Consider the following 15,136-nt stretch of genomic DNA (forward strand, 5'->3'; position numbering starts at 1 on the left):
TTAAGGAGTTTTTGGGCTGAGAAAATGGGGTTTTCTAAATATACAATCATGTCATCTGCAAACAGAGACAACTTGACTTCCCCTCTTCCTGTCTGAATGCCTTTTATTTCTTTCTCTTGCATGATTGCCCTGGCCAGAACTTCCAATACTATGTTGAAATAGGAGCGGTGAGAGAGGGCATACTTGTCTTGTGCAGGTTTTCAAAGGTAATCCTTCCAGTTTTTGCACATTCAGTATGATACTGGCTATGGGTTTGTCATAAATAACTCTTACTATTTTGAGATATGCTCCATCAATACCTAGTTTATTGAGTGTTTTTATCGTGAAGGGGTGTTGAATTTTATTGAAGGCCTTTTCTGCATCTATTGAGATAATCATGTGGTTTTTATCATTGGTTCTGTTTATGTGATGGATTACATTTATTGATTTGCGTATGTTGAACTGCCCTTGCATCCCAGGGATGAAGCTGACCTGATTGTGGTGGATAAGCTTTTTGATGTGCTGCTGGATTCAGTTTGCCAGTATTTTATTGAGGATTTTCACATCGATGTTCATCAGGAATATTGGCCTGAAATTTTCTTTTTTTGTTGTGTCTCTGCCAGGTTTTGGTATCAGGATGATGCTGGCCTCATAAAATGATTTAGGGAGGATTCCCTCTTTTTCTATTGTTTGGAATAGTGTCAGAAGGAATGGTACCAGCTCCTCTTTGTACCTCTGGTAGAATTTGGCTGTGAATCCTTCTGGTCCTGGGCTTTTTTTTTTTTTTTGTGGTTAGTAGGCTATTAATTATTGCCTCAATTTCAGAACTTGTTATTGGTCTACTCAGGGATTCGACTTCTTCCTGGTTTAGACTTGGGAGTGTGTAATGTGTCCAGGAATGCATCCATTTCTCCTATATTTTCTAGTTTATTTGCGTAGAGGTGTTTATAGTGTTCTCTGATGGTAGTTTGTATTTCTGAGGGATCAGTGGTGATATCCCCTTTATCATTTTTTATTGTGTCTGTTTGATTCTTCTCTCTTTTCTTCTTTGTTAGTCTGGCTAGCAGTCTATCTATTTTGTTAATCTTTTCAAAAAACCAGCTCCTGGATTCATTTTTTTGAAGGGTTTTTCATGTCTCTATCTCCTTCAGTTCTGGTCAGATCTTAGTTACTTCTTGTCTCCTGCTAGCTTTTGAATTTGTTTGCTCTTGCTTCTCTAGTTCTTTTAGCTATCATGTTAGGGTGTCGATTTTAGATCTTTCCTGCTTTCTGATGTAGGCATTTAGTGCTATAAATTTCCCTCTTTATGCTGCTTTAGCTGTGTCCCAGAGATTCTGGTACATTGTGCCTTTGTCCTCATTGGTTTCAGAGAGCTTATTTATTTCTGCCTTAATTTCATTATTTACCCAGTAATCATTCAGGGGCAGGTTGTTCAGTTTCCATGTAGTTGTTCAGTTTTGAGTGAGTTTCTTAATCCTGACTTTTAATTTGATTGCACTGTGGTCTGAGAGACTGTTTGTTATAATTTCCATTCTTTTGCATTTGCTGAGGAGTGTTTTACTTCCAATTATGTGGTCAATTTTAGAATAAGTGCATTGTGGTGCTGAGAGGAATGTACGTTCTGTTGATTTGGGGTGAAGAGTTCTGTAGATGTCTATTAGGTCTGCTTGGTCCAGACCTGAGTTCAAGTCCTGAATATCCTTGTTAATTTTCTGTCTCATTCATCTGTCTAATACTGATAGTGGGGTGTTAAAGTCTCCCACTATTATTGTGTGAGAGTCTAAGTCTCCTTGAATGTCTCTAAGAACTTGCTTTATGAATCTGGGTGCTCCTGTATTGGGTGCATATATATTTAGGATAGTTAGCTCTTCTTGTTGCATTGATCCCTTTACCATTATGTAATGTCTTTCTTTGTATTTTTTGACCTTTGTTGGTTTAAAATCAGTTTTATCAGAGACTAGAATTGCAATCCCTGCTCTTTTTTTTTCTATTTGCTACATCCCTTTATTTTGAGCCTATGTGTGTCTTTGCAAGTGAGATGGGTCTCCTGAATACAACACACCAATGGGTCTTGACTCTTTATCCACTTTGCCAGTCTGTGTCTTGTAATTGGGGCATTTAGCCTATTTACATTTAAGGTTAATATTGTTATGTGTGAATTTGATCCTGTCATCATGATGCTAGCTGGTTATTTTACACATTAGTTAATACAGATTCTTCATAGTGTCGTTGGTCTTTATATTTTGGTATCTTTTTGCAGTGGCTGGTACCATTTTTTCCTTTCCATATTTAGTGCTTCCTTCAGGAGCTCTTGTAAGGTTGGCCTGGGGGTGACAAAATCACTCAGCATTTGCTTGTCTGTAAAGGATTTTATTTCTCCTTCACTTATGAAACTTAGTTTGGCTGGATATGAAATTCTGGGTTGAAAATTCTTTTCTTTAGGAATGTTGAATATTGGCCCCCACCCTCTTCTGGCATGTAGGGTTTCTGCAGAGATACACTATTAGTCTGATGGGCTTCCCTTTGTAGGTAACCTGACCTTTCTCTCTGTCTGCCCTTAACATATTTTTTATTTCATTTCAACCTTGGAGAATCTGACAATTATGTGTCTTGGGGTTGCTCTTCTCAAGGAGAATCTTAGAGGTGTTCTCTGTATTTCCTGAATTTGAATGTTGGCCTGCCTTGCTAGGTTGGGAAAGTTCTCCTCGATAACATCCTGAAGTGTGTTTTCCAACTTGGTTCCATTCTCCCCGTCACTTTCACATACACCAATCAATCGTATGTTTGCTCTTTTCACATAGTCCCATATTTCTTGGAGGCTTTGTTTGTTCCTTTTCATTCTTTTTTCTCTAATCTTGTCTTCATGCTTTATTTCATTAAGTTGATCTTCAATCTCTGATATCCTTTCTTCTGCTTGATCAATTCAGCTATTGATACTTGTGTATGCTTCACAAAGTTCTCGTGCTGTGTTTTTCAGCTCCATCAGGTCATTTATCTTCTTCTCCAAACTGGTTATTCTAGTTAGCAATTCCTGTAGCCTTTTATCAAGGTTCTTAGCTTTCTTGCATTGGGTTAGAACATGCTCCTTTAGCTCAGAGGAGTTTGTTATTACCAACCTTCTGAAGCCTACTTCTGTCAATTCATCAAATTCATGCTCCATCCAGTTTTATGCCCTTGTTGGAGAGGAGTTGTGATCATTTGGAGGAGAAGAGGCATTCTTGGTTTTGGAATTTTCAGCATTTTGGGGCTGGTTTTTCCTCATCTTCATGGATTTATCCGCCTTTGAGCTTTAATGCTGACGCCCTTTGGATGGGGTTTTTGAGTGGGTGTCCTTTTTGTTGATGTTGATGTTATTGCTCTCTGTTTGTTAGTTTTCCTTCCAACAGTCAGGCCCCTCTTCTGCAGGTCTGCTAGAGTTTGCTGGAGGTCCACTCCAGACCCTGTTTGCCTGGGTATTACCAGTGGAAGCTGCAGAACAGCAAAGATTGCTGCCTACTCCTTCCTCTGGAAGTTTCATCCCACAGGGGTACCTGCCTGATGCCAGCCAGAGCTCTCCTGTATGAGGTATCTGTCGACCACTCCTGGGAGGTGTCTCCCAGTCAGGAGGCACAGGGGTCAGGGACCCACTTGAGGAGGCAGTCTGTCCCTTAGTAGAGCTTGAGCACTGTGCTGGGAGATCTGCTGCTGTCTTCAGGGCTGGCAGGCAGGAAATTTTAAGTCTGCTGAAGCTGCACCCACAGCCACCCCTTCCCCCAGGTGCTCTGTCCCAGGGAGATGGGAGTTTTATTTATAAGCTCCTGACTGGGGCTGCTGCCTTTCTTTCAGAGATGCCCCACCCAGTGAGGAGGAATTTAGAGAGGCAGTCTGGCCACAGCCGCTTTGCCATGCTGTGGTGAGTTTGGCTTCCTTAACACTGTAAGGGGAAACGGCCTACTCAAGCCTCAGTAATGCTAGACACACCTCCCCACACCAAGCTCAATCCCAGGTCAACTTCAGACAGCTGTGCTGGCAGCAAGAATTTCAAGCCAGTGGTTCTTAGCTTGCTGGGCTCCATGGGACCCGCTGATCAAGATCACTTCGCTCCCTGGCTTCAACACCCTTTCCAGGAGAGTGAACAGCTCTGTCTCACTGGGGCACCAGGCACCACTGGTGTATGAAAAAAAACTCCTGCAGCTAGCTCAAGGTCTGCCCAAACAGCCACCTAGTTTTGTGCTTGAAACCCAGGACCCTCATGGTGTAGGCACACGAGGGAATACCCTGGTCTGTGGGTTGCCAAAACCATGGGTAGTATCTGGGCCGGGTAGCACAGTCCCTCACGGCTTCCTTTGGCTAGGGACGGTAGTTCCCCACCCCTTTGCACTTCCCGGGTGAGGCAACGCCCCACCCTGCTTCTGCTCACCCTCCATGGGCTGCACCCAATGTCTAACCAGTCCCAATGAGATGAACCAGGTACCTCAGTTGGAAATGCAGAAATCACCTGCCTTCTGCGTTGGTCTTGCTGGGAGCTCCAGACCAGAGCTGTTCCTATTCAGTCATCTTGCCAGCTCTCTTTAAGAAATTTTTTATCTATGTTCTTGAAAGAGGTTCACCAAAGTTTTTCTTTTACATTTGAAATTTTTATATTGTTTTCTTCTACTTCAACTTGAATTTCCATTTTACTTCTTTATGACATTTTTAGTGTAACATATGCTTAAATATATTTATTGACTACTCTCTTTGAAAGAATGTGTAAGTACATTGAAATTGAAATATTTGTCTATTATTCCCTATGGTTATAAGGCTCTGTGTTTATAAATTCTTCTAAGTCAGACATCATTATACTTATTAGGATTAATAATAATTATTGTTCATTTTACCAAATAAAATATACTTATATTTTATAGATAATTATATTTAAAGTTTTATTAGAAACATTTAATGAACTTATAAGAGCTGTCTCTTTTTTGTTTTCAATTACTTCATAGAACCATAGAAAATATTATCTGTTGATAGTTTCCATCTTTTTATATGTAAGTAACTAAGGAAACTTGTTTATGTGGCTACTCAAGTTGGGTTTCCTGGCAGAGATGAGGGAGATTGCCAGAACATACAATTTAGTATGCTCCCAGATTCTAACACATAAGATGGGCCATGACAAGGGATACTAATGTTCCTGAAGAAGTAATGATCAAGTTGTAAGTCATAGGGGTAGTACAGAAGGTCCAGGGAAGTTGCCAAGGTGGGATGAGTAAGGAGAAAAAATGCCTTAGGAACAGGGGACACAGAGTCAAAGAAAGGACGATACCAACTCCTGGGAGGGGCAGACACTGCAGTTCCTAGCCATCTGTGGGGCAGCCCCACAAAAGCCTCCTGTAGGGTGGGCAGTCTCAGGAGCGAGTGCAATGGGGATGTCTTGTCACTGACATTAAAGAAAGGGGTGATGAGAGAGGGTGTTTCTCCCTTGTGGTATTTTGGGGAATAATCTTCTTCACTGATGTTGTCTTATACTAAAGTACTTTCTTCTTTCTCTCAGTTTACTTTCAACTAGGGAAAATTTCCTAGCAGCAGCAGAAATAAGGCAAAGTCCCCTGCCAGCACCACTCCCAACTCAGGTCCCACAGCCCTGTCCTCCCCAGGTGCCTGAGCCCTGTCTCCCACCCTTCATACAGTAGAAGTCCAGCTGTTAATACCACTTATGCCAGCAAGACTGCGCAGCAAAGCAGAAATGACCCTCAGAAGCCACCTTCTCTGACCTGGACAAGAGGATACTGCATCCCCCGCCCACTTCCATCCCCTTACTTCCAGCAATAATAGGGACCACCACACAACCTAGAAGATGCTACCTGTCTTCAGATTCAAGATGGAAGATATTGTCATAGTCTACTGGGGTCTCCTCCCTGAATCTACAGCCCCTCCCAGCTTTTCACCCAGGAGACAACATGGTTTAGACAGAGTGCCACGTTTTCAAACCTTCCACCTGTGATCCAAATATGCCATATTTCCACCGGCTACCTTCTCTACCACACTGCCTTCTGCTGGCTATATGAGATTCCTGCAAGAACACAGAACATTCACATCTCTGCCTCAATGGAATTCAAAAACTTCATTAACGTTTCTAGGAGCAAACATTGTTTAAAAAAATTAACACATGAAAACTGCTTAAATCAATGAAAAATTTGCCAGAATTCTTTACAGCACAACTCCACATTCTTTGATGAAGACAATCACATTGTCTGTTTGTATTTTCTCCCTAATAATCTCCATAAATCCTAACAAAGCTCACCCCTTCCTCTGGACTTTGAACCTATTCCAAGACCTATGATGTTTTTTTTTTCTCTCTCTGCTTCCCAATCAAACATATGTATCCCTGACTGGTCATGTCTCTGCTCTTTGCTGGAGATGTAAAAAAGTCAAGAGAGACAAAGTCACAGAGAGACAAAGGACAAATGGAGGAAAGTGGAGACTGAATGGTAAATCCTTGGAAGGACCCTAGAGGCAATCAGGGGCCACCCAAGAGTGACAAGGGGACCTGGTTCAAGTCAGAAGGTCTTCTTTTTCCCTCTGGTTGCCCAGTCTCAGTCTCTGATTTCAGCTGCCTCCAGACCCACCTCTACATGAGGCACCTATCCATTTCTGATTAGGGACTCGCCATGCAAGGAAGGTGAGGAGAGTACACAAAGGAGCCATCAGTGTCAGGGCTGCAGGAGGGATGAGCATGTGACAGGCCCTGCAAGGTTCATAGATGTGTGAGTGCTCAGCATCTGGGACCAGAATTGTGAGCCTGGCTCTGCACAGAGCCCAGTCTGTTGGGGATGGACCCCAGAGACAGTTATTACTGCAGCAGTTCTCACACTACTTGGCCTTGAAAATAATTTACACACTTAAGATTATTAAGGACCCTAAGTAGATTTTATTCATGTGATTTACATCTATTGATATTTCTTGTATTAAAAATTAAAACTAGAAAATAACACATTTTACATAAGTAGATATTGCACTAGCTGGCAGAGTGATGATGTCATTGCATATCATCTACTCTCCGGAAAATTCTACCATAGACTAATGAAAAAATATGAGTAAAAAAGTCAAATAATGTCAGCATTATGATTAAAATTGTTTTGATCTCACTGACCCTACTGAATGCATCTCAGGGACCCCAAGGTTCCCACACCACACTTTGACAACCACTGGTCTAGGGCATGATTGTAGGCCAGGTCTCCAGGGTCTCAGAGCACAACACACCACAGTAGCACAAGTCTCAAAGGGTTGAGGACATTCTCCTTGGTCTCAGCTTACTTGTGGGTTTTATTTATGCCTGTTGTTTAACTATCCAGCTAAATTAAGTTCTGACCTTTAATTCAATAATCATTAATCAGAACCAATTTAGCACTGCTAAATTGAGTTCTGTACCATTATTCAACAACCATTGACAACAACAGCTAGAAAGCATCTAGTTTATAAAACCTGAAGACAAAGAGAATAAGACACTGAGGCTCACTAGAGAAGCCTCCTCGGTTGTCTCCTGCAGCAGTGGGGACACACATGTGCTGCATGAACCATTAGGCTGATCTGACGAGGGCTTCTATTAGGCACAGAGGGCATGTGGGATGATGTATTGAATGTATGTCTTCATAAGGGACAGCCTTGAATTATGTGCAGGCTTGTGGAAGCTGAGGAAGAAGGCAGAGCAGAGGATGTCTCCTGGGTTCCTATCTGGGTTTCTTCCTTGGGTTCCTAAGTGCAACTGGCAGGAGTTTCCTTGGGAGCTAATCATATTCAGTGATTATGGAAGTTTGAATCTAATCATATTATATCCCAGTTCTCCTCCCACCAGCCACACAATAGCCTCTCCCTTATTTCCATGGAGGCAAAACCACATCATAGTCAATTGAAAAATATACCTGAAGGATAAAAAATTTCAAGAACAATCAAGAGTGGAGATGGAAGAGAAAGGATAAGAACTAATTTTATAGTAGGATTGGGAAGGTCCCCCCAAATTGCACCCACTTCCCTTTTGCCTAGTCAAGATTATAGGTTCCTGGGTCCCTTCACTGTGCACAGGAATGTACCTGCTGGTTGATTTCAGACTGAAACAAAGAGTAGAGCTTCTGGTTCTTGTTCTAAATCTTGTTATTAAACTCTTCTCCTGGGCCTAAATTTTTCTCAAGCTCTTTGCATTGTAGGTATGTAGAATATATTTTTCTCTACAATTTCCACAGCTTAAAGTCTTTTTGTTTAAGTTTAGCAGGCAGAATTTCTTAAATAAACTTTAAGCTGACACTACTGCCTGTGTAGGTAAGAACCCCCATCCATCATCCACTGTCCGGCCCCAAACCACTGATGTGTTTCTAGCACCACCACCTGGGAACTGGTGGTATCAAAAGATCAGAGCTACCTGGGCTATGCCTTGGCAAGGAGCACAAGGTGCGTCCTTTGTGAGGCACACACTAGGACTAGGTTTCCATTTCTTTATTTTGAGAGATTAGGTAAACCTTCTCCTTGTCCGCTGACCAGCCCAGGAAGTCTTGGTGGTGAAGAGAAGAAAAGGATGTAGCTTTTCTTACATCCAATAAGATAAACAAATGCAGCTAGAGGACAAAAGACTGGATAAACTGCCACAGGATGGTCGATATGCATTGACCTAGAAAGAGACAGAATCCCCTCTACATCATTCCTGGAGGTGACAGCTCCCCAGGAGGTTTTCTGTGACCCACTCACCCCCACCGATCATCCAAATGGATTTCCACAGCACGCTGAACAAACTTCAGCCATATTTCCCCACACTTAGCTCTGTGCCTCAACATCAGTGACCACACTCACTCTTGCCTAGACTGCAGAGTATTTGTCCAGGTTGCTCTGTATCTTCATTCCCTATGCTGCCCTCAAACATGTGCATGCACACACACTCACACGCACACACATGCACACATGAGGACACAGGCATGCATATGCACACACAGGGTCTAGCCTCTGGGAGAGGCTCAATGACTTTAAACTTCATTTAATCCTAAAGAGCAGAGCTAGAGGTGGTGTGAGTTAATGTTAAGCGATTTCATTTCAAGTCTCCGAAAGAGATGGTGGGATTGGGGTGGGGGCATATGAAAGATGCTAAACACCCAGCCCAGGAATCCTTATAGAAGAACTGTTTCCTGGAGATGAGGAGCTCAGCAAGTCCATTCTGCTTGTCTCCTCTCAGACACCAGGAAGTCCCAAAGACCTGAGGTGCTGCTGAGTAAATTAGACCTGCCTCCATATCCCTTTCTCTCACTCCCACATCTCCATCCAGGGCAGCTATCAAACTGGAACCCCACTGGGGGCTTAGAGCAATCATACCTCCTCAGGTCTATGAGGGCTGCATGGACACCAGAGCCCCTTGCACACTTCCTGGCCACCATGCTCCAGCCCACAAGATGACAGCTGTAGATGAAGAAACCAAAGACACAGATCACAGACATGATTCTCTTCGACCTGAGCTGGAACTTAACTTTCTTGGATCCCATGCTTTGCTCCTCCTTCTGCATCATCTTGAGCTTGTACCCAGGCTAGGGTAAAAAAGGCCTGGGAATTTTACTCTTTCTGATGTTCAATTCTGATTCAATGATACAATGTCAAACTGACATGTATTAACCTCCTGAAAAAAAAAGAGAGATCAGATTTTAAAGTAACTAGGAATAGCATAGATGAAGAAGAGAAACAGTCAATAATAGGAGAAAAGACAAAATGTCTGCATAACTATTAATAGAATATATCAAAACACAGGAAAATTTGCATGACATTCTAAAAGTCATTTAGTCCTGCCTCCCATCAAATTATTCTCCACCAAAAGGCCTTCAAAAGATTAGTTGGCACTTCATTAAACACTTGCTGGGCCAGACAGTTGATAAACTTAGGAAGTGCTGCTACTGGCCTGAGAAGAGGGTGTTAGCAACTTCTTCCTTACCTCCTGCCACTTCCACCCACACGTGCTGCTCCCACTCTCTGGAACTTTTGGGAGCATGTCTTCATAAGGTACAGCCTTGAATTATGTGCAGGCTTGTGCTCCCTCCTCCAAACTTTTCCTTCCTCAGACTAAAACTCCCCTACTCCACTTTCCATTTTTTAACAGGCACTCTATCTTGGTGCTTCCCAAACTTTTTGCTTTTTTTCTGAATCATTGCAATGTGAGAATGATTGTCTCAGACAGCAGCATCCGTAACCAGCCTCAGCCCTCTGAGTTTGGAGTAGACATGGGCAGGCATCGGCTCCTTGGTGCAGCCCCAGAGATACTCCCCTTGGCTGAGTGCTGTGCTCCAATGGAGGCAACCATGGCTTTGATCATGGCAGTGAGTGAGTGGGAGTGAAGGTCTTAGTCCCCAAGGATGGAGAATTAGGGAGAGGAGAGGGAATATCTCACATGTGAACATTCAGGAGGAAGCTCCTCCACTGCTGTCACTAAAGCATAAAAGTTTATCTCCTGTTTTTTGCAGTGTATCATCAACACAGGAAAGATGACCTAGCAGCAGCTGCAGCAGTGCCAGATCCCCTGCCAGTCCCCTTCTGGGTCCCCAAGCCCTGCTCTGTACCCCACAGCTGGCAGAAGTGGACTTCCTCTCCATGCTAACAGGAATACCACCAAAGCCAAAGAGGCTCTTCTGAAGCCTCCCTTCCCCGCAGCATCTAGGCAGTACGTTGCTCCCTGCACCCTCTCCAATCTCTTTCTTCCAGAATCACAAAGCCCAGAAATTACCTTTCATCTACTGAAAGAGAAAGATACCTTCATAGACCAACAATCTGAGAGCAGTTCATCAAGGGTATCCTCCCGGCTCCTCCTCCAAGCAAGGATTGGACACGTGGGCCATGTTTCGGTCTTCTTTGGTAAACAGCAGACCTGCTCTCCATTCTCTATTTTGACACTGTGTGGTCAGGACCAGTCAGTTCATCTAACTGTTGCCTCCACCACCACTACTGCCACTGCTGGCTCAAGAAGGCATCTCAAGTATGGAGTTTTCCTTCCTTAGCTCTCTGTACCCCTGGGTTCCACCATTTTGGGGGTCTTAAGTAGCAAGGATGATCGAAATTCTAAGAAAGAAAAACTGCTTTAGACAATGGTAAAGTCTTAAGAATTTTCTCTTTCCAATCCTTCAGCTTCAATCAAGACAATTACAACATTTATTTATCACCTCCTCTCCTAAGAGAGCTGACCCCTCAGTCTGCTCCTAAGCCTGTTTTGAACATGCTGAGATGACTCTTCCTTTCCTCTAGAGGCATGGGGACTCTATCTCACTCATCACACACACCTCCTTCCCTCGTGCTCCCACCCTGAGCACCCCACAGCCCACAAGACCCCAACTCTCATGAGCAACAAGGAGAAGACCTTCCCAGGCCACTGGGCCTCCATAGGTGGTGAGTGACTCCTCCCAGGTCCTTCCCAGAAAACAGCAGGAATTAGACAAAAGTACACTCAGGACCTTCCTGGGGGCCAGGTGTACCATCCTTCCCCTTCCTTATCCTCTTTTTAAATTTATTTATATTTTTGTGGTAAGAATATTTAACATGAGCTCTATCCTCTTAACAAATTGTAAGTGTATTAATACAATGCAATATTGTTGACTATGGGTACAAAGTTCTTCAGCAGATCTCTAGAGCTTATTCATCTTACTTAATTATTTTATGCCTGTTGATTAATAACTCATTTCATCCTCCCCCTGTCCCTGGTAACCACTGTTACAGCCTTTGATTTAATGAATTTGACTATTTTTAGATACTTGATGTAAGTGGAATGATGCAGTATTTGTCTTTCTGTATTTGACTTATTTCACTGCATAATGTCCTCAAGGGCCATTTATGTTGTTGAATAAGGCAGAATTTCTTTCCTTTTTAAGGCTGGATAGTATTCTATCATGTGTATATACCACATTTTCTTCATTCATCTGTTGATGGACATTTAGGTTATTTTCACATCTTAGCTAAAGTTTGATTAGATAAAGCTGCTTATTCCAACTGCTACTGTTCCAGCCCATGCTGCCTCCTGTGGCAAAAGAAGATCATTAGGGAAACACAGTGCTGCCTCCCACTTTATTAAAAAATATGAAGACCTTGTAAAGCTGGTTAAGAAATTGACAAGAACTACTTCAAATCATCTGAAAATGTCCCCCAAATTTCCTGACTTTGTGATCCCACACTCAGTGAAGGAAATGGGTCTCTGCTTTTCACTGCCTTCCTTACCTGTGCAAAGAGATCTCGCTTTGTGCCCTGAGCCTGCAGAAGTCACTCTCAACCTGCTGAGGGATTTTCTCTTCATCTCTGCTCTCTCCATTAAGACATCTGCCCCAGTGGGCCCCCAGTTTATTGCCCTTGCTTGTAGCTGGGAAGGTGATGGTGTCACAGGAGGAAAAAGGAAACAGAAGCCTGGTGGGCACCTTAGGAGGAGCCCTCAGGTAAAATGTGGACTCCACAGAGGAGTCCGGTAGAGCTTCACTCAAGAGAATGACTCCCATTTACCCACAGGATCCTTCCCTACCGTGCCTGGCCCAGCTACCTCCCTGCCAAGTCCACTCCATCCTGTGTCCTCCCCAGTTCTCCTGAAGTGGGTCTCACCAGGCAGAGAATGTGTGTGTGTGTGTGTGTGTGTGTGTGTGTGTGTGTGTGTGTGTGTATGTTGGAGGATGAAGAGGAGGTGCAGGGCAAGATAAACCCTAGCTGCAGGGAAGGGGAGATGGACACTCGCTGAAGCTTGAGTCCATCTCTGCTTGGGAGCCTGGATCAGATGGCGGCTGTATCCTGGACAAATCCAACAAGATCTGGGATTTTCAGCCTACACAGCCCAGCGGTACCTGCCTCCTGGAATCTCTGGGCCTCATACAGATATATTCATGTTGGAAGCTGACCCTGAGAAACAGATCTCCATCTCCATAAAGTTGGATCTCCCTCCTCTGACAGACAGTTTATTTGATTCTTATCTCCCCTGCTGAACTTTGTCTTGTATATCCATTCATTTATTTCCCAAATATTCACTGAGCATCTATTATATGTCAGGCCCTGGCCCAGCACTAAAGATGCAAAGAATAATAAGAAAGCCCTTTCCTGGATTAGGGCACTGTATGAGACAGAAGACAGCATTGCCCCCCGGCAGAACAGGTGGGGAGTCAATCCATGGGGAGCACATCAGGCATGTTCAGAGATGGTATCTCTTAACTGCAGCAGGGTGGGGGTCCAGAGCAGTCCACATGGAAGGTGGAATTTTCAAATTGTATATAGAAGATAAAAAATAAATATCAATAAGGCAAAAAGGAGGGGGATACTCCAGTTAGAGAGAAAAGCAATTGCGAAACCATTGAAATATTATTCCATCTCCTTATTGACAAGAAGCATTAACTATTGCCTGGCCAACATGTGCCAAGACACACACTGGACACTGCAGAAACAGAGATTTTAAAAAGTAATTGGTTCCTGATCTCTACACTACATCATGTGAGAGAGTAGATCAGGAAGTAAATAACTACAAAATATGGGGATAAAAATTTCAGAATGAGCTTGGCTAAGGCAACTAACTGCCTGGGAAGGTGAGAGAAATCATGCCCAAGGAGAATTTCCTATGAGTTCAAGGTTGAGGAGGAGAGAGGGAGGACTCGGCTGGCAGAGCAAAAACTCGGAGTTTAAAAAAATAAAAAAAGTCTAGCATATTTTGGAAACTGCAAGTAGCTTTACCCCAGAATCTACGGTAAAAGTAGAAGACCGAGCTGAAAGTAGACACCAGATTAGTAAGAGTTTTGTTGACCCAACCAAGAGCCTTGGGCCTCATCTTAAATTCAATAGTAAAATTAAGCTTTTGTTTTATAAAATTCACTTCGGCAATGCTGTGGGGGTTGAATTAGTGGTGAGACTCTTTGGAGACAGGGAGACCTGTGATGATGATGCCACAATAAAGGCAGCAACCATGGCTGTGAGAGAATGGGGGACCAACTTGAGAGAAATGTGCCTGCAGCTCCCAAACACACCCTGGCTTAGAAGCCTGTGGCTCAGGAGGTAGAATCTGCAGATCCTGATAGCACATTTGGTGTGAGGTTGAGTAGGAAGCAAGAGTCTGGGATGATCCCAGGTTTCTTGTTAAGTCTTGGTGGACAGGATGCTATTCACAGAGTCGGAGCGCATAAGAGGAGCAAGAGGGGCATGTTAGGAAAAATGTGGAAGGTGTTGAACTCTGATTTTGTAAAATCAGCTTGAGGTACCAAAGTACATCCAATGGATGTTAGTATTGGGACCTAAAGCTCAGGGAAGAGGGTGGGCTTTGGGATTCTCTATGCAGAGCTGGTACTTTCAGCAATGGTGGATAATAATATCAGCAGCAAGGGTGAAAAATGAAGGTGCAGGTGATGTTGAAAGGATTCAACAGAGGAGAAAGGGCTCGGGAAGGAGAGTAGATGAGGCTGTAAGTGGGAGTCTACCCATGTCACAGAGGACCAAAAGGGAAGAGGGTTAAAATATAGGACACAACTGTAACAATTACTGCAGTAAAGTCAAATAGGATAAACCCTGAACCATGTCCATGAGGATTTCGTAGAACATTCTTCCCCCTTTATATAATGAATGAGCAAAAATACACAAATATCAAGAAAAACTTACGCAATGGTGATTGATAAACAGTGAAAGGGGAGGATGTATATCTGGTTCCCATGGGCCAGATATGAGCCATAAGGGAGGGAAAACTGGCTGTCCAGGTGGTCTAAAATCCTGTCCAAGAGGTGAAGATGAGGAATACCAGCCAAGAGAAGCTGTAGGAGAGCTTGCCAATGCCTAGGCGCTACAGGAGCCATGCACAGCTAGACAAAGCAGACATGCCTGTTATACTAAAGAACTGTGGCCAACACCCAGCCAGCAGGGAGAGGAGAGTCTGTGAAGGACACATTCAAGTTCTCCACGGGAGAAAGGTCAGCCATAAGCACCTGCCAAGCCCAGAAAGCTCCTATGCCAGTTCACAAAGTTTTCAGGTCTTTCTTTCTCATTCCTTTGCAGCCCCTACCCAAATGGACAAGAGGCAGCTGGGTGAGCAAGGGAAGAAAATTAAAAACTTCTAGTAGCTAATAGAGAAGATACTCTTCTTTCCTGTGCAGCCTTCCTTCCTGCAGTAGTACCAAGTAGGAAAGAGAAGGAAATCCAACATTCAAGGAAAGACCTTCTGATTACTGAAATAAGATTTTTT

General features: G+C 43.4%; 1 protein-coding gene and 1 long non-coding RNA gene across 2 annotated transcripts in view; one reads left to right on the forward strand and one right to left on the reverse strand.

The window, feature by feature from the left end:
• The window catches only part of LOC101928009 (uncharacterized), a 17,159-nt gene extending 10,070 nt beyond the window's left edge, over positions 1–7,089 (forward strand). The window contains exon 3 of the long non-coding RNA NR_110685.1: positions 5,492–7,089. This is a non-coding gene — a long non-coding RNA (uncharacterized LOC101928009). The remainder of the gene's footprint in view (positions 1–5,491) is intronic.
• SPRR2G (small proline rich protein 2G) overlaps positions 1–15,136 on the reverse strand; it is a 53,697-nt gene that overhangs the window by 35,006 nt on the left and 3,555 nt on the right. Inside the window, exons 2-4 of the mRNA XM_017002177.2 lie at positions 12,163–12,301; positions 10,712–11,016; positions 9,292–9,589 (exon numbers count right to left, since the gene is read on the reverse strand). The gene's annotated coding sequence lies outside the window, so the exon portion shown is untranslated. The remainder of the gene's footprint in view (positions 1–9,291; positions 9,590–10,711; positions 11,017–12,162; positions 12,302–15,136) is intronic.

This window comes from Homo sapiens, chromosome 1, assembly GCF_000001405.40.
Source record: "Homo sapiens chromosome 1, GRCh38.p14 Primary Assembly".
In the NCBI taxonomy this organism is placed as follows: domain Eukaryota; kingdom Metazoa; phylum Chordata; class Mammalia; order Primates; family Hominidae; genus Homo; species Homo sapiens.